This window comes from Homo sapiens, chromosome 2, assembly GCF_000001405.40.
Source record: "Homo sapiens chromosome 2, GRCh38.p14 Primary Assembly".
Taxonomy (NCBI): Eukaryota; Metazoa; Chordata; class Mammalia; order Primates; family Hominidae; genus Homo; species Homo sapiens.
In genome coordinates this window covers 102,171,288-102,190,715 of record NC_000002.12, presented here as the reverse complement: position 1 = coordinate 102,190,715, position 19,428 = coordinate 102,171,288, and the positions used below count along the sequence as shown (strand labels likewise).

At 41.1% G+C, this 19,428-nt stretch overlaps 2 protein-coding genes and 1 long non-coding RNA gene across 42 annotated transcripts in view, besides 1 other annotated feature; 1 reads left to right on the top strand and 2 right to left on the bottom strand.

The window, feature by feature from the left end:
- The window catches only part of IL1RL2 (interleukin 1 receptor like 2), a 56,114-nt gene extending 52,371 nt beyond the window's left edge, over positions 1-3,743 (bottom strand). For 11 of the 19 annotated variants that reach the window (XR_923053.3, XR_007083521.1, XR_007083520.1 and 8 more), the window contains exons 1-3: positions 3,630-3,693; positions 2,791-2,860; positions 1,406-1,640 (exon numbers count right to left, since the gene is read on the bottom strand). Coding sequence is in view for 15 of the 19 variants with exons in the window: in XM_017005174.3 (XP_016860663.2) it covers positions 1,406-1,640; positions 2,791-2,848 (293 nt within the window). In the remaining 4 variants the exon portion in view is untranslated. Of the gene's footprint in view, positions 1-1,405; positions 1,641-2,583; positions 2,861-3,373; positions 3,403-3,629 lie in introns of those variants that run through there. The other 8 variants (XM_011512094.2, NM_001351446.2, XM_047446164.1 and 5 more) reach the window with 5 other exon arrangements.
- Positions 3,508-4,037: an enhancer, noted in NCBI's record as "H3K4me1 hESC enhancer chr2:102803139-102803668 (GRCh37/hg19 assembly coordinates)". NCBI's record gives its function as "activates a minimal SCP1, AML or CMV promoter by ChIP-STARR-seq in naive H9 embryonic stem cells {active_cell/tissue: H9 hESC(naive)}" and the evidence as "EXISTENCE:reporter gene assay evidence [ECO:0000049][PMID:30033119]".
- On the top strand, positions 8,608-18,095 carry IL1R1-AS1 (IL1R1 antisense RNA 1). Its single transcript, NR_174960.1, has 3 exons — positions 8,608-8,822; positions 10,715-10,804; positions 18,019-18,095. It is a non-coding gene; the product is annotated as an IL1R1 antisense RNA 1 (long non-coding RNA).
- IL1R1 (interleukin 1 receptor type 1) overlaps positions 10,842-19,428 on the bottom strand; it is a 109,485-nt gene continuing 100,898 nt past the window's right edge. For 21 of the 22 annotated variants that reach the window (XM_011511115.3, NM_001320978.2, NM_001320980.2 and 18 more), the window contains 5 exons: positions 18,798-18,915; positions 17,878-18,029; positions 15,986-16,129; positions 15,071-15,238; positions 10,842-14,363 (listed from right to left, as the gene is read on the bottom strand). In XM_011511115.3, coding sequence (XP_011509417.1) covers positions 13,957-14,363; positions 15,071-15,238; positions 15,986-16,129; positions 17,878-18,029; positions 18,798-18,915 — 989 coding nt within the window. In that variant the 3' untranslated portion in view covers positions 10,842-13,956. The remainder of the gene's footprint in view (positions 14,364-15,070; positions 15,239-15,985; positions 16,130-17,877; positions 18,030-18,797; positions 18,916-19,428) is intronic. The other variant, NM_001288706.2, reaches the window with a different exon arrangement.

Sequence of the window (19,428 nt, the reverse complement as noted above, 5' to 3'; positions counted from 1 at the left end):
AGCCTAGGCTAAAATAGGACAGCAGACCTCCACGTGCCCTGAGCGGTTTATTAGCAACTAAATCTGTGGAAAGGAGCCAGGCAGAGCTAACGACCACTTCCACTTGTGAACCACTCAATTTTGTGCATTTAGTCTGTCTGGTGTTTAGAAATGAGGAATCTAGCAGCAATCAGAGTGGGACAGGGGCCATGCTGGGACACAGAAAGGGGCTGGCAAATATCGCGGAATCAAAACAAGAGCGAGAGAATGGAGTACCTACTTCACACCTGATCTCAGTTAATTTGCACCTCAAGCCTATCAGGCCAGCATTACTTCCATTTTACAGAAAAAAACCAAGGCTCAGAGAGATCAAGTAATTTGTTAAGGTCATGCAAGCCAGTGTGGGAAAGTCACGAAATTGGGCCCTCAGGCTAAATTTGTTCTACAGATGTGTTTTATTCAGGCCCCACAAAGCTTTACAAATTATAAAAAGTTGCACACACAAATTCCGATTTCCATATTCCCTTGAAAAGTGAGAAGATGGGCTTGACCTGAATAGACAGCTACCTTTGAGGGGCATGTGTTTTCCAGCTGACCACAGTCACCAGCAGGCCTGTGTTATTCATATTTCTTAGCACAGGTTCTCCAGTGAGGTCTGGAACATACTCCATGCTTACTCCCTGCCTTAAGCAGATTCCTCGTGAAAAGCGCTCATAGGAGGCTCATTCCTATCTGGATGTGCCATTTCCCACAAAAACTTTTGGCATTTCAAGAAAGATGGCAGCGGCCGGGCTAGGTGGCTCAGGCCTGTAATCCCAGCACTTTGGGAGGCCAAGACGGGCGGATCACGAGTTCAGTAGCTCGAGATCATCCTAGCTAACACGGTGAAACCCCATCTCTACTAAAAATACAAAAAATTAGCCAAGCATGGTGGCTTGCGCCTATAATCCCAGCTACTTCGGATATAGCCAAGCGCCTATAATCCCAGCTACTTCGGAAGCTGAGGCAGGAGAATCACTTGAACCTGGGAGGCGGAGGTTGCAGTGAGCCGAGATCGCCGCCACTGCACTCCAGCCTGGTGACGGAGCGAGACTCCATCTCAAAAAATAAAAAAGAAAAATAAAAAAGAAAAGAAAAAGAAAACAGGAAAGAAAGATGGCAGCAATAATACTGGGACAAACACACTTTGTGAGTGGGTCTGGTCTGAGGTGCCATTTCCATAGGGAAAGATGCATATCAGGTTCCAAAAATGATTTACAAATCTGTTCTGTTTAAAAATGTGTTCACTGGAAATTGTCTTGTAGCAATTATAAAAACATACAACAACATAATTCTTCTCAAGAGTTTTCTATGTTCGTTAAGAATTTTCCTAAAATAATTTATACATACACACACGAGTTAGTTCTATTTTAAATTAGGAACTTACTTTATAACACATTGGTAGACTCCTGAGTCCCCCCATTCCATGGGGAGAAACAAAATCCAAGTCTCGTCCTGGTGAATTCTAGACTGTATGATTTTGGACACTGGGATTTTGCTAGAATTTTTATACCATGTTACACTGACTTCCCCAGATGTTATGGGAGGGAATGTACAATTAAAAGCAAAAGGCTGGCTTGCTGAAAGTATCTCATTTTTCATAAAAATGTCCTTGCATCCATCTAGGGAAAGAAAAACAAAACAAAACAATTATCCATGAAAGAAAACTTCAGTTTTATTTACTGTTAGTTTTTTTAAATGCCTCTTCAATTTTCCAGCCAATTTGAAATTTTATTTGGGAGTTTCTTGAGTCTGGAAGTTTCCTAAAAATAGCCTGCTGATTATAAAGTATAATTCCAAGTTCTTTAAATGTATCCATAAAACAGAATTTACTCCGTTCCCTCCTCACAAACCTCCCCATCGGGAGTGATTTCCCTCTTTCCCTTCTATTCTACGACCCTTAGTTCTTTTCATCCACAGAGTTCTTTACTCTGTACTCACCTACAGAGTAAATCAACCCTTCTTGTCTTTTCTGTTTCTGCTCTGCCACCCAGTTATTTTACTCTGTCTTGAGTAAAAGGTATTTCATCCCAAAACGATTGTTTAAGAAAAAAAATTTGGTTCACTTTTAAAGTTCATTTCTACCAAATTTCCTTTTTTTTTTTTTTTTGAGACGGAGTCTCTCTCTGTCGCCCAGGCTGGAGTGCAGAGGCTCAATCTCGGCTCACTGCAAGCTCCGCCTCCCGAGTTCACGCCATTCTCCTGCCTCAGCCTCTTGAGTAGCTGGGACTACAGGCGCCCGCCACCGCGCCCGGCTAATTTTTTTAATGTATTTTTAGTAGAGACGGGGTTTCACCGTGTTAGCCAGGATGGTCTAGATCTCCTGACCTCGTGATCCGCCCGCCTTGGCCTCCCAAAGTACTGGGATTACAGGCATGAGCCACTGCGCCCGGCCATACCAAATTTCTTAGAAGAAATTTGTTCTATTGACGGTTTCCTTGCTTTCACCTTGTGTCATAAAATAACGCTTTATCTTATAAAATAGCCTGTAGTAATTCCATTTGAGCATTGTTACTCAAGTCTTCACTTGGAATTTGCCTAACTCCTTCCCCTCCCCGAAGTCACCTCCAAGCTCAAAGGCGACATTCAGGGCTGAGCATCCGAGCACGTGGAGCTGGTTCTCTGTTTCCTCTTCCGCGGAACTCCGCCTGGCGGTCTGGGGAGGGGAAGGAGCCGCGCTCGGGCTGACGCGATCCCCGGGGGCTCCCAATGACAGGCCAGGAGCCTGTGGACTCGGGCAGCCTCTGGGAACGGAGGACACACGGAACGTACCTGCTGTGACAGACAGTGGAAGGGCGATGGACAACCCGCAGAGCAGCAAGGACCACATCCCCAAACCGGGCTGCAAGGAAGGGAGAAGAGGGTGGGAGGGGAGGACGCAGTAGGGCGGGCCCGAGGCGCCGGCGTGGGCGACCTCGGAATCTCAAAGACAACCGCCCAGGCCGCTGACCTTCCCTTTTTCCTGGGGAGCCCTCCGACTTTGGCCCCACGTTTCCCCAAAGACTGCCCTTCCCCTGTCTCCTTCGTCTGGGCGCCCGACCAGGATCCAGGGCAGGGAGCTCGCCCCGCCGCAGAGGAGGATGGGCGAGGAGTAGGCGGCGGCGGCGGTGGGGACCGCGTGGGAGCTGCTTCTGCCACCTGACAGCGAAGCAGGCTGGTGTCCAGAGCCCCCGTGAGGGCCAGGGCGCCCCCCAGCGCAGCCTGCGGCCTGGGTTCCAGACGTGGGACCCCAACCCCGCTCGCGGCGCACGGAGCCTCCCCTGCGCGCCTGTGTCCTCGGGATCCACCCGAGCCTGGCGGTCTAAACAGAAACCCCAAACACCCGCTCACTGGGGAGCAGCCAGGGCAGGCCTACCTGGCAAGGGCCAGCGGGAAAGGAGAAAGGAAGGCAGGGAGCCGCTGGAGCTGAAAATAGCCGCGAGCTCCACTCCTCGACCCAGAGACGGAGTCGGCTCCCCCATGGTCACCTAGCCGGTCGGGGGCCGGCCTGGGGGGCCTGATCCCTGGCCTGCGGTGGCACACATTGTTGCCACGTCTTTTCCTGCACACCTCTCCTACTGTCAGGGCCCCACCCATGCCTGGCTCAGCCAGACTCCCGGCCCGGTGTCTACCTGCCTGCAGGATTGAAGCGCGCAGGACCTCGTGGAGAGTGGAAAATATGACAGGGACACGAGCCCTGTCATGCCACTTCCATGCCTAGGTATTTCCCCGCCACCGTGGGCGGGGCAGACCTGCCTTCCCCAGTGGAGCGTAGGAAGGAATGTGACATCACACTAGGAAGTGGCTTGAAAGTCTTTGAGCCTGATTTTCTGGCATCTAAGTCCTTCATCACCAGGAGTGTCTGCTTAAGTCTATTCCAAGTTGAACGTCTAAATGAATTATTCATTCCTTTCCAAATCCTATTTGAGCAGTTACTGCATGCTCTGCATTGGCCTATGTGGAATGACCCCAAAGTGGAAGCCATCCCAAATGGCTTCTAAGGAGAATTATGAATCTGCCTGAGTCGTGCTCATTAACTTCTGTAAGGCAGGAATCCCATGGTGTTCAAGTACTTCAGAGCCTGAAGACTGTTCCTGTCTAAAACTTCCCGATAAGGTGATGTCAACAGGGACCTGTTGCCCTAGCCATCAGGAGACACCCCAGAGTCATCCCACAGGGCACTGAGTTGTAGGAAAAGGTTCAAAATGTAATCTCCATTCAATAGATTACTGGTCAAGCTCTTCCCAACGGTCTTTGAAAGATCAGAGACAGTGAGACAAAAGCAACCATAGGAGCAGAGATGCAATAATTGTGCTAATAGCAAAGCTTCCTGTGATAGGCTGAAGGTCAGTGGTTTGTAGATTTCTACACTCTTAAAAAGTATTGAGGATTCCAAAGTGCTTTTGTCTATGTAGGTTATGCCTGTCAATATTACTACATTAGAAGTTAAAGGGAGAATTTTTAAACGTTTACTTTCTTATTTAAGTGACAATAAACCCATTACATGTTAACGCAAATATCATACAATTTATGAAAAATAACTCTACTTTCTAAAACAGGCTTATTGAGAAAAGCGGCATTGTTCTACATAGATGCAGATCTCTTTGATGTCTGGCTTACTAGAAGATGACTGGATTCTCATACTTGCTTCTGCAATCAGTGTCATGATATAATATGTCATATAGCTTCTGAAAAGGTCCACCATACACTAATGAGAGAATGAGAATAAAAAAGGAATATAAGGTCTTAATATTACGATGAACATAGTTTTGATTTCACAGATCTTTTTGAAGGGTCTCTCAGGGACCCATAGGGCTCCCACTCTTTGAGGACCTCTTTCTTAAGCTATAAATAGAGATTATTATTTATTTCCCCTACTATCAGCAGTAAACGAGGTTCCTCTGTATATGTATATTCTTCAGCGTTTATGTCCTCATCCAAAACAAAACAAAAGTGTTACTATTTTTATAAAAGTCATATGATTTGCATTCAGAATTATTTCTATGAGCAGTGTTGAAAGGTATTTCTAAATCTTTATGCTATCTTTTTTCATTTTCACTTTATGAATAGATGCATTTGTGTCCTATCTTATTTCTTAGCCTGAGGACTAGTATATATGCCAAGTTTAATGGGTATTGTTGCCCCAAAATGTATGAAGTTAAGACAGGCCATCCCAGTCCCCTGCAGTGCCTCTCACTGGACACTTCTGACATTGCACTTTGCTACTAATTCTGAGAATCTGAAATTTAACTTCCTGGGATGGTCTCTATGCCAAATGTGTTTCCTGATACGTGGAAAATGAACACTTGGCTTTGAAGGCAGAACTGATTCCGGGTATTGTAAACTTAGCAATTAAAAATAACAGGAAACCATAATATTTACTGCAGGTTCTCAATTACCTTGAAAAAAAAAAACTTAAATGTATTCATCTCCTTCGAACATTTAAGTTTTTCCAAATTTATATTTTGCTCTTATAAACGGTGCTGCTGCAAAGATTCTGGTAATGTCCTTTTGTGCGAGTATTTCAGAGGCCATTTAGTGAACGGAATTGCAGAATCATTGGGTAGGTACATCCTCAATTGTATTAGAAAAGCCCTAATTTTTTTCCATAGCTATGTCCTTTAGAGGAAAAGAATTTCATTGCTTCATGTTCTTACCAATATTTGGTAATGTCAGACTTTTAAATTTTGCCAGTTTTGCTGCTCTGATGTAAAAGCTATCCTGTGATTTTATTTTATATACATTTAGATTGAGAGGTTATGCCCAGTTTTCAGAGGTGGCAGTTGTAAAGCCTCCATAACAGGGTGTATAATATGTAATAGATGCTTATCACCATCCCCCTACCAACCCCTCCTTGTCTAATTCTCTCCCACTTGCAGATATTTTTTCAATGGGAATATTCTTAATGTTTTCTAGCATTAGTCAGTGGCCATAGGAAATAATTTTCAGTTGGTTTTTTTTTTTATGAAGTAAATCAACTTCCTCTAGAGATTCATCACTTCATTCTGAGAGCAGGCAAAAAGCAACAAATCTGTGTGTGATGAAAGCATTACAGAATTCTGCTTGGTTGAATTTTACCTTCAGTCTATTTGACCCTCAGACTAGGATATGACGGCTATTCAGAAGGGTAGGAGGGCAACAATTTGGATTAAAGATTTCATATACAAATTTATATTTTACATGATGCATACTACCTTTTATTTGTTCTAACTAAATATCTGATTATTTCCCATTGGCCATATCCCACAGATAATGTTTCCCAATGAGAATGAAACAGAAATATATTCACACGCAACAATTAAACTTTCCAAAACCCAGTATTAGGCTGGGGTGGGTGTTTGGGGCTCCACCAAGATCTTTATACCTTTAAGGCCCTTAAGTTCTCATATTTCCCCTCTATGAGGCTTGGGAATATATAGCAGCATTTCTGTAGCAGACTGCTATTGTTGGGATGAAATGGACTTCTAGAAATGGAAGAAGCAGCCAGGGAGACTGGAAGGAGGTCCTTAAAGCACTTGGTTTCCTGCAGTCCTGGGCTTAATCACTCACTCCCTCGAGCTCCATTCATTAGTTCGCTCAGTCCCTCATCAAATATTTATACAGTTCCCACTGTGTTCCAGGTGATATTCTGAGTGCCAGAAATACAGCTGTACAGAAGACAGACCCTCTTAGAGTTTACAGTCATTCTAGTGTCAAGTAAATAAGAAAATTTTGAAGGATGATTTCAGGCTGGTGAGAACCCTGAAAGCAATTATGATGAAGTGATGGAGAGGGTGTTGGGGAAGTCCTCCCTTCAGAAGGGACTATGGTGCAGCAGAGGCCCTTGTCAAGGCAAGGAGTCCAGCATGTGGAGGTCTGCGAGAAGGGCTTTCCCCAAAGTAGGAAACAGCTAGTGCAAAATCACAAAGGAGGAAACAGTTTGTAAATTCCAAAATAAAATAACACAGACGAAGCCAATAGCCTCAGCTGCCTCAGCCTCCTTAGTAGCTGGGATTACAGGCGTGCACCACCACGCCCAGGTAATTTTTGTTTTTTGCTTTTTGTGTGTTTTTGGTAGAGATGGGGTTTCATTTCACCATGTTGACCAGGCTGGTCTCAAACTCCTGGCTTCAAGTGATCCACCCGCCTCCAATTGTAATTGTTAAGTGAAACATTCAACCATGTTAATAGTTAACTGGCAAAGGATAACCTTTTTTTGTCTATCAAATTAGCAATGATTTAATAATGAGTATTCTCAGTGCCACACACTGCTTGTGTAAGAGGAGCAAATGTCTCTATGGAACATCAAGAACCTGAAAAGGAATCTTGCCCTCTGAATATATGCTAAGCAAATGATTAGGGAAGTAAAAATATTTGAGAAAGGATAACTATTGCACTTTGACTACTGATAGCTAAAACTAGAAATAATCTGGATGTCCACTGAAGGCAGCAAAGCTATCAGATTATGGACCATCCATTTGATAGACTTAGTGACTACTTATAGATTGTATTTCGTATAATAGTAATGTGGGCAAATATTTATGCTAAGTTTTAAAAAGAGTGTTAAACTCCATGTATTATATGGTCTCAGTTATATCCATAGAAATGTTATAAAATATCAATAATTATCTTTAGGTTGTGAAGTTATGGGTGACATTTTTCTTCCTTATATGTTTTAGAAATTTCCACATTCTCTCAAACCATTATTGCTTTCGTAATAAAAAGAAGTTTCTCCTAATTTATTTTATAAAATGTCTTAAATATAATTGACTCCCAAGGGGATTACTCTACCACCTTCCTAACAACCTCCCTATGTAACCTTTTACCTCCTCCCAATCTGCTGTACAATAGTGCCCTATCAATGTGTTTCTTTATGTCGAAAGTTCTTCCAACCTGTTGCCTCCAATATCTCCCATATACCTACTCCTAGTGGTAAAGTCCAAATAGTTCAGTCATGGGTTTAAGACCCTCTGTCATATGAGATTGTTTCCTGAACAACTTTCTCTTCACACTCTTCTTCTCTGGCTAGATTTCTGTTTTTTCTTACCTTGTAATTTTCTCAGTGTCTAGCATAATGTTAACCACTTGGTTAGCACTTTTTAAAAATCTAAAAGTACGCTTGAGAACACAAATATTTCCCCTGTGTTTTTGAATTTGAGAGAGGACATGGGTCCAGTTTTAGGAAAGACAAGAATTCAGAAGCAATCAAGTACAGTGTGGAAGGCAGGACTACGGAATAGCATCTGACGACAAAAACTGTTGAAACAGATGGCTGCTGTCTACAGCCTTGAAAGCAAATGAGAAGCTGCAGTCTGTCCCTGGCTAAGCAGGGTAAGTGACGTAACATGGCTGTGGAGGGAAAATGTAGTGTTAGCCAGGGAAGGATTAACTACATGAACCAAAGCAGGAGTGGGTCCCCACACAGGCTGTGAAACATGCAATACCGTTTCACTAAAGAAGCCTAAGGAATCTCATCCTCAGGATGTGTAGATTGACAGGAAAACCAATGAACACTGTAGAATGGTATCATTGTAGCCTTCCCAGACCCGGAAGCAGAAGCCAAATGGCACTTGGGATCACTTCCAGGTCAAAGGTTCTAAGAAAAACAAGCTTCATCAACTTCACCCTGTAGGTAAATTAATCTCTCAACTGGTTGAACACAGCTTTAGAGATGTCAACAGCCTCCTATGAGTCTAGAGTCAGGTGGTACAGGCTCAACTGGTCTAACAGCTGCAAATTTTGAGAGACTGCTGTGCTAATGTTTGGGGCTCAGATTTAAGGTATAGGTATGATTTACGTACTTTGAGCAGCCAAGCCTTCTTCAGAAGAAACCTGAGCGGCATGTGGTAAGATGAGCATGTTTTTGTTTTGAATGATTAATACTCATTTTAAATAGTACCACCTATTCCTGTAACTCTTCCTCTCCTTAAAATTTAAACACCCCGCCCCCCCCCACACACACACACACAATCTTTGGTTGTAAAATGAATGTTATCACATCAAAAAATTATCCCTTTCCTCTGTCTTCCCACATACATTTTTTCATGTGTACTCCATTTTATGAATTATTGCCATGATGGTGATTCATTCATGTATTTTATTTTAGTAACAGAGGAACAATTTTTCCCTTCCAGCCCAATCCACATTCTTCCCCACCTGCTACGCTCCCTATGCCCTGCACGCTAAGCCAACCTCACCACACTCCCAGAGCCTCACGTCAAAGGCGAAAAGATTTTCTTTTGACAAATAAGCTGGAGGAAATCTCTGATTTTATAATTGCATGGTATTTATACTTAGAAGTCCTTCAATTACTACTTGGGGAACGTACTATATTAAAAATGCTAAACCAGATCCTGACTTGCTAAAATGGGATTAAGTAGCAGCTGTGATCATTTTAAAAAGTTAACACCAGCATTATATCACTCTCCAACCCCCGCACACACCTAAAACCCTAGAATTTGAAAAATATACATTTTGGATGAGTAAGTTTTTTGTTTTATCTGTACTCATCAAGTGATAAAACTAAGAAAATATATTTTGAGATTCTATCCCGTATACTGGACAGAGACTTCCTACATATAAACATCTTGTAACATAGGAAGTCCTGTTTTACACATGAGAAAATGGGGGTTCCATACAACCAGGTGCTTTGTTGTGGTTTCAAAGCTGTGACAGTGCAGGAATTTAGTTCCAGGTCTTTTTCCACCAGACGGCATTCCTGTTGTAAAATAATTCCAGAGACTCCCTAAAAACCTATTTTGCATTTACTGGGGAAAATTTATCTGATAAAGAGAGGAAAACGTGTGAGTTTTAAATGGTGGTTAGCACTGATTTTCCTAATGGTTTTCACATTAACTGGTATCATAACCAAAATGTGGTGCAAAGCTCCCTGAACTCTTCCAGTGAGAAACATTCTTTCAGGTTGGGGGCCAGTGGAGGGGCTGTGGGCTGGACAGGGCTCCTGGCCTCTGTGGTTATACAACTTCAGTTTGACATTGTGTACTTTGTCCTTAGTGTCAATTGTCATTTCTAATTTATAAGTCCTCTCTACCCCTTCCATTTGCAGATTCTAATAGGGCTTCAGATAAGCAATTCATAGAATTGCTACTAACAAAGCAACCATTTTCTGAGAACCTGCTTTATGCTAAGCACTAGGCTTGTCATAATATATTTAATCTTTTTAATCTTAACTCTATGAGTTAGATATTATACCTATATAATGAGTAAATTGAGGCTCAAATACTTTGCCTAAGGTTTCACTCCAGGTAGCTGGTGGAGGCAGTGCTCATACTGGACTCAGACTCTAAGCCAACCTGCCACCTGCCCCTTCTCCCCAGGTACTGAGAGAGTCACCTGCCCCTTAGCATTGCTGTGAGGTAAGAAGGAGGCACTGACTGGGTGTCATCTCTGACCATCAGAGTTAACAAGCTTTAGAGCATGCATTTTGGACAGCAAGTTCACCAATTTTGCCCACCTTCTGGGTCAAAGGAAAAAATAAAAGCGCTTTGTAAAATGTAAAAGTCTATACAAATATTCCCTTTATCATTTTTTGGACAGGTAAAGTGATAAGTTAATAGTAAATTGATAAGAAGTTAATAAACAGTTATTGACAAGGCTCACATTTTAATCCATTTTAGAAGCAAATGAGCAGAGGGAGTAGAGTTTAGCTAGAAGATGGGAGTTAGGGCTCACTGTTAAGCCAATAGCCTCTGACCTCCACTCCCCTCCCCTCCTCCAGCTCCTCCCCACCTGCTTCCCCACAACAGGAAGAACTCTCTGCAGAAGGTCTCCTCACCTTGTTGAGGCCTGGGAATGTGCAAATGTGCAGGTAAGCTGTGGACTGGACAAAGAACAGATTCTCAGGATAACAGTACAAAGTTTGAAAATTTTATTGGAAAATAAGTACAGTCTATTGATCCGTGATGCATGCTGTACATGAATTTGGTGCTTTAATATACAAAAAATTTGGCTTCTGCTGCAAAATTATATAAACAGGTTAAAAAAAACTCCTTCATCAACTAGTACAAACATAATTTATCAAAAATGTCATTTAAAAAATGGCTCAATACCTTTTATTGCAAATAAGAAAGGCAAGAGAGGGAAAATATAAATTGTGCTAAACCAGTTTTAACAACCGGTAATTAAATATTTTGTTGCATTTGCAAACTCTTCTTCAACACTTAGGGCATCTTTAAAAAAATGCCATAAAAAAACTGCAAGAAAATCTAATTAATGTGGAAGGCATTAAAAGTTTTTTGTTTTGTTTTAGTGGGGACAATAAGTCAAAGGAAGTTCACGGGGAACTAGGAATGTGTCTTCTTCCTCCAGAATTCAACCCTTGGAAGATGGGGAATAACTTTGCACTTTTCTGTTTGGATCTTCCTCCACCCACGCTTATCCATTGATTCTTGTCCCTCCTTAAATTCCAGCTGCCATTCTACTTGTAATTCTTGGTCATCATCACCCCCACTCTCTGGCCAATTTTGTCACTAACCTAAGTTTCCAAATTGGCTTGCTTTCTTAGCACTATGCATGCTGACACATTTTCTGGATGACAGACTAAAATAATCTGCAAAATTAAATTTGTAAAACATCTAATAGGCTTTTCAAGACGTGACATCCCTGCTCCATGGGCTTCTGGCTGTAGTCTGTGTGTCAAATGAAAGCTAGGCCCTGTCTGTTGGAACAGCAGCTCCAGAACAGCACTGTTCCTTCAAGCAGGCAAAGCGGGCCCAGGAGAAAGCAGGTGGAAAGGCAAGAGTCAGAGACTTAAACTCAATGTGTTTTTGTTTAGGAGGAAAATTATTATTCCAAATAAAAGTTGGTGTTCACCCATATTAAATACGAGAAATATAAAAACCAAAAGTCCTCTCCATGTTCATACAACTCTTAAAACTGTGCTTGTGTCCTGCAATCGGTGGCATATAAATTTGGCTTTCATTTTTAATGAAAATGAAACATTTTAAGAAATGTTTGCCTCTAGGGAAAGAATAGATGAAAGTAGAAGAGTTTTTCATAAAATCTAAACACAATTTTTGAAAATTCCAACATTTAGAAGTTTGGAATTTGGTGTCTTGAATAAAAGCATTCCTAGACTCGGTCACTTCCTAGCAAAATGTCATTTCTTCTCACAAACGTGCCAGTGTGGAGTGAGGGGGGACCGTTATTGACCTGAAATCAAGTACTCAGAACACCAGACTAGAAGCCAGAAATGGAGGCTCAAGTCCTAGGTTCAATAGAACTTAGAGTGTGATTTTTTTAAAAAATAGGTCACTTTCTCTATATATAAAATTAGAATAATTGCAAAAATTAAATAAGATAATTGGGGAATGTTTTTAAACATAAAGCATTACATAAATCTATGTTACATGTGCAAATTGCTCCTGGAAGGCAGTGAGGGACAGAGACAGCCACCACAGCCTCTCCCTCAGAGAGCAGCAATTCCAGCTGGAGGGAGACCAGCCTCCCAGATGTGCTCACCACCATCTCTGCAGTGGGCCTGACCAGAGAGAGAAGGCTGGAGAGGAAGTCGCCTCTTAGGGAAAGTCTCCCAGAGACTGTGGAATTGGAGGATGTTCTGAATTTTGGTAAAATTCTGATCAGCTAGAGAAAATGCGAGAAGGCCTCCTAGGCAAAGGAGGAGGAAGGGTGCAGGCAAGAGCAGAGACAGAGGAGTGCTGGGGGCAGGCGACATGGCCACCAGGCCAACCTGGGAATTCACACAGCAGGACAGCGAGGGGAAGCTGGAGGACAGGGCAGGGAGGTGGTCTGGGAGTGACATGCTGGTGGGAAAGCATGGGCTTCAGCTCCTGAACAGGTGGAGCCCCTGGGAGGTGTTTCAGCAGGAGCGGGATGACAGAAGAGCGGCATCATGGGAAGGATGGTTCATGTGTGGGCTGTGCAAGGGACATTGCAGACGGAGGAAGCCACTAGGGAGCTGTTCCTCCAAAGACGTAAAATGCAGGATAATAACAAAGGACAGGATGGTCATGCCAGGGAGGAAAGCATTAAGAAGTGGATCAATTCCCTGCTACTGTTGCTTTTTTAAGTTCTCTCCCTCCTGTGGAAAGCTAAGATGACTTCAAAACTTTGGAATCCTGGAGAATCCCTTTGTTCATTGAAGTGAGTTTTCAAGCTCTGTAAAATAAAATTCGGTCTTCGGACACTAACTTCTGGCTGGGGATGTGTATGGAAAATACAAGCAGATGGAAAGTTCTCCAAGAATATGTCTCCCTTCCTCAGTGAGGTGTCAGTCTCACTTTGCCTGCAGCACCTCTCAGGAGAGCCGCTCCAGGGTCAGTGACTCTACAGGGTCCCCAGACAAGGCATAGCCCCGCCCTTGGGCTGTGGATGACTTAACTAAGCCATCTGTAGACGGTGGCTATTTCCTTCTTGCCCTTTCTTCTAGTTCGCTGTCTCCATGCCTTTTCTTGGCAGTTCAAACATTCAGAGAGGGCATTTATTGCCCTTTTTTTGAGACGGAGTCTTGCTCTGTTGCCAGGCTAGAGTGCAGTGGCCCAAACTCGGCTCACTGCAACCTCCGTCTCCCCGGTTCAAGCAATTCTCCTGCCTCAGCCTCAGGTGTAGCTGGGATTACAGGCGTGTGCCACCATGCCTAGCTCATTTTTGTATTTTTAGTAGAGATGGGGTTTTGCCATGTTGGCTGGGCTGGTCTCGAACTCCTGACCTCTGGTGATCCACCCACTTCAGCCTCCCAAAGTGCTGGGATTATAGGCGTGAGCCACCACACCGGGCCTACTGCCTTTTTAAAAGATCTTCCCAAGCCCTCTACTCTGAAGTGCCCTGGGCTGCTATTGACGTCATGGCTTATTCCCTTAATAATCTGATTCCAGGTGACCTCAGGGATAAAGGATGATATAGTTACATTCCATGAACTCTGCAAGTCAGCATGAGGCATAACCTGGCCTGCAACGCCATAAGACAGGAGGCACCTAAAGAACTCTTGGCAACTTCTCCATGCTACCCGAGAGGCACGTGAGCCTCTCTTTGCAGTTTCTCCTTAGTGGCTGGTGACAGTAACTGGTGTTTAGATGAAGGTGACCGTCGCTGGACTGGCATGTGGTACCTGACATTCTTCCAGAACCTTGTCTTTGCAGACTGTGGTCCCTGTGTAAAGTCCCCTGACCAGCGGATAGCCCCATGTTTCTGCTTAATGAATTTAATCGATTCTGGCATTTTCTCATAGTCTTGGATTTTCTCCAGCTCAAGCAGGACAACTTTAATTCCATCCTGAACAAGAGCATTATACATGGCTATTTGCTCTTCAGATGAACCACCCAGCCAGCTGAAGCCTGATGTTTCTCTGACTAAAATGATAATCAGTCTTCTGCTTTTCTTTACGTTTTCATTAATGACCTCAACAATGTCTGAAAAACAGGAAGCACAATATAGTAAGTAAAATTCTATTTATCATCATTCTCTCCTGAACCAAAGCCACACAAGGCTTTTCACAACCGTATGGCTCCTAATGCCTTTTTCTTGTCTTACTTAAAATTAAAGGAGTTTCCCATGTTTTTAATTAATTAATTTTAAGAGACAGTCTCTTGTTCTGTTGCTCACACTGGAGCGCAGTGGCGTGATCTTGGATCACTGCAGCCTCAAACTCCTAGGCTCAAGTGACCCTCTCACCCTGGCCTCCCAGGGTTGTACTGAGATAAAAGGCATGAGCCACTGCAAACCTCCCATTTTATAGACTAACTCAAAAATTGGCCCTCAAAAGACAAATATTTCATTTAGAACTCAGAAAACTTTGTTGGAATTTTAAAAACTTATTATTCAATCATTTGATCTCTACCACTCCTGTTTAATTGTATCAGTTGTAAAGCAACTGTTGGGTTTAACTAGTCATTAAGTTTTTCAAAACTAAATGAAAATCACTTAATTATTGCTCTGACAAAATATGAGAGAAGTAAATGCATTTAATAAATGTAAAAATCATCATACACTTCTGAAGAGGTTCTTAAAATTGTGAAACATATACCCCTATGCCACGATCTTCTAGAAAGATGGAATCCACATTTTACTAAGTAGTTTTACAACAATAAGCCTTTACTCTGTTCCATTACACACATACCTTCCCCAACGTAGTCATCCCTTCCATAAATGAACAGCTTATATCCACACTGTTTTTCCAAGACCTCAGGCAAGACTTTAAACACAAAAATATCACAGTCAGAGGTAGACCCTTCCCCAACAGTCTTTGGATACAGTATATATGCGTCATAGGTCTTTCCATCTGAAGCTAAAGGAAAAACATAATGTATTTAGAACCACAAGGCAAAAATAAGAGATTTGATAAAGTCAGTATCACAAACATTCATTACATAATGAACTATTCATCTTTTTTTATACAATGGCATGACTGAAGCAGCAATACCAAAAATATAATCCCTTTAAAAAGTGTTCATCTCTTACAAGGTTTCTATTTCTTGTGTTTTACTGCAAATTTGTTCTTCTATTTGGAGGCTGCCTCGTATACTCTTAGTATAGAGCCATCCTTAAAGTCTCCCTGTCCTCATCTTCTTCCCCAGAGGTCTCAGCCCTGAATTCTATCCATTCATTTTTTTTTAGATATTGTGGTATTCCTTTTTTTTTTTTCGCAAAGTTTAAACAAAGGAGAGAGAGAACCTCCCTGATGCATGAAGATCTAGTCATTTCATTTCTTTCATTAAGGTATGATCTCTGTCTGTCCTATTCATCACAGAGCAAGGCCTACCAATGGCTTGTGCATAACTGAATTTATAAACAGATGCTCTAAATACCTGTTTATTCTACCAATATGAATGTTGAGGCAGGAACTTAGAAAACAATGATATTCAGCCTAATGAGTTCTAAAACTATAATTCTGTGTAAGAATAACTAGTATTCTTGTATATGCCACTTTTCATTTTAGAAACCCTCTTAGTAAAAACCCTCTTAGTCATCTTCTACATCTCCTAACTATCCCTTATCTCCAACAAGAAATACTGCATGGAATACAAAATTATACCTTTTATTGGGAGAAAATCATAGCAGGAATCCCTGTACCAAAGCACAATGTCAATCTTGAAGATTTTATAGATGAAAACAGAACACACAATTATGACTGTCAACGTGACACATATACCAATCATGTGCTTCTGGAAATTAGTGACTATAGCAAAAAGAAAAAAAAAGGAGAAAAAATATTAGAACCAAAAAGAATTAAAACTTTGAGCACAGCAAATTAAATATCTTCGTCTCAGAGAGCCCATATCTGGGAATGGCCTGCATTCAGACAATATTAACTCATTCATTATTATCACTTTGTAATGGATACTAATGTACAAAGCAATGATAAAACTAAGGTGCATTCTATGAAGTTTCTACCTAAATAGCATAATATACAATAACATGGGAAATAATACCGAAGACCACAGGATAGAGCATTCCACAGTAAAACAGGGAAAAGTTAAAATCACTCAAAAGCCTACAAAAGTTCCCTGAGGTCAGAGAGTCCATTGGGTAAAGTTAAAGACTGGTGGAAAGCGAATAAGGTGGAGGCTTAGGGAAGTTTCACATTTCCACATTCTCCTGGCCTCCTTCTCTACTTAGTTATCCAATAATTAAAGAGGAAGCTGGGGAGCAGATGGAGTAGGTGATGGGGAGGGGGCTAGAGAAGAAGAAAGAGGGAAGAAAAAGAAAGTACCCTCTAAATATCAGGAACCATGTAAAAGCATCCAGAAAAGGGAATCTAAAAGCTTTATTTACTTTTCCAATTTAAATGATTTGGATATAAAACAGAAATCAAGTTATACCATTTTCCAGACAAATATCCAGCTGGCCCAAATGATAGTTCACACTTACGGTCTTAAGTACTGTCGCTTCATACAAGATCATGATGTCTGTAGTAATAATCCTCCAGATTTATTTTTCTTATTTAAGACCACCATGACTATACTTGGTCCTTTACAGTTCCCTATGACTTTTACAGGTGTCCACAAAAACACACCCATACAAACACTGACTCTCACTTGTACAAATACTGCTGAGATTTTGATTGAAATTTTTTGGAATCCATAGATTCATTTGGGGAAGAACTGATATCTTCATAATATCGAGTCTTTCAATCTATGAACATTGTATATCCTTCCATTTAGTTCTTCTCTAATTTATCTCAATATTTTTTAGTTTGTATTACAGAGGTTTTGAACAGCTTTTGCTAGATTTATTCTTAAGTATTTGATGATTTTTGATGCTACCATAAATGTTATCTTTTAAATGTAATTTCTATTTGTATGCTGCCAGTATTTAAACATACATAGAAGTTAATTTATAGAGTCTTTCAGATATTCTTCCATGCACGCAATTATAATAGCCTATGTTTAATTAAACCACAAATTACCTTAAAATGTTTCACAAATACTTTCAATATTATGTTTTATTATACCAATTCATGAAACCCAGTGACTTCTGATGTCCTCTTTGAAAGTGGATATTTAGTCTTACCCTATGCATCATCAATGTAGTTCATTGGGTACCCACAATGTACCAGACCTAACTTGCCATTAGCTGTGGAAATAGAATGATTACTAAGATAAATGGTTGCCACCATCACAGAATTTATAGTTAAGTACAGAAAACGAAGTACCATAGATCCTGTGACATATGGTGCTACAGAAGTACATACAGAGGCCCTAACCTCCTCTCTTTGGGCCGAGAGCTGGGTTAAGGGCAGGCAGCAGGACAGAAAAGCTTCCAAGAAGAGAGAGTTCAGCAGAAGAGTAAAAGAGAAATAGAAGTTACCCAAGTAATGAGGAAGTGAAGCGTGTTCTAAGCAGAGGAAATGGCATTTCAAACTTCAAAGTCATGGAATCTTACTACAGTAAAACAAAACTGCATTTCAATTAGTTTGTTGTTTACCTGGATATATTAACTGGATATATGCTGCATCTATACCATGTGTATTCTTGGCAAAACAGGTAAATGGATGTTTATAAAATCTACTTTCAATTTCCGATATATTAAGCACTGTGATGAGGGTACTCCTTCTTTTGTTTGCAGGATTTTCCACACTATTCGAGAGAGAGAGTAAATAAACTTGTGTAAGTTAATTGCATCAACTACAAATAAGACCTGTATACCCTGTGTATTTCCTTATTTGTGACAAAATTGCCACTGAAATAATCACCCTGCCCAATCACAGTCACAACATTCAGACTGCTGGCAACACTAATCTGAGATTTTATAACCCCAAGACCACTGTCAGTAACAGGCTCAGTAGCAGAGAAAGCAAAAAAATTACCACTTCCAAGAAGAAAAATGTAGACAAATGCATTGTGTTCTCCATGGGGCACAGAGGAGACACTAAACAAGAGGAGATTGGGGCAGATGACAAAGTGCTTTGCAGGTGTTGTGAAGGAGAGGTCATGGGAAGCCAGGAGATCCTTGTCCCATAGATGAGCAGTAGGAAACCAGTAGAGGCTTTCGAGAGCAGTGGATTGCCTGATTCTTGAGCTCATTAATGAGTCTCTTCTAAGCTACTTGAGGAATATGAAGAATAATGAAAGATAATTGCTTCGTTGAAATGTTGCAACATGTATAACGTAAGAGAAAGGCTTCTAAGTGGTCTGTAATTTGCACCACAATGACAAGTATTTTTTACCTTAAATGTACAAGATCTTATAAATTCTACTTAGCTTAGCAAAAAAAAAAAAAAAAAAAAAAAAAGGCAGCAAAGGTTAGGAGCAACTAACACTTGCTTTTAAACTGAACCGACAAGGTTATATAAAATATCACGTGGGATTTAACACCAAAATGTGAATAACTCTTAGCATACATACCTGTAATAGTCTTCCCCTAGCACTGGGTCATCTTCATCAATTACTGACCCATTCCACTTCCAGTAAGCAATGTCACTCAACTGGCCGGTGACATTACAGATCAATTGTATCTGGGATCCTGCAAAGAATGTATTTTTAATCTTAACATTAATTGATTTTTTCTGATCTATCTAGATTAATAAATGGCTATTGAATTAAAATTTTAGATATAGAAATGCACAAAGAAAAAGGAAAATTACCCTAAACCCACCACCCAGAGAAAACCACCATTAGTAACCTTATGCGTCTCATTCCTTATCTTCTCTGTGAACATGTGCAGTTTTTGAAATGGGGTCTTTTTGCCTACTATTTTGTAATTACTGTGGATTGGGAATTTGGGCCCACATGATTTGTCTTCCAAAATAGACTCTGTCATGGCTGCTTAGCATTCCATAATACATATACACTATGATTAACTATTTCCTATTGATGAACACAATTTCCTAATTTTTCACTATTATGATTAATATTTTAATGAATAGCCTTATTTGTACACATCCTGAAGTATTAAAATCTAGAAGCAAGATTGAATTAAAGAAACATATTTTAAAAGCTAACCCCCTCTCTTTAGTGAGGCTGTGTCAGTCTACCC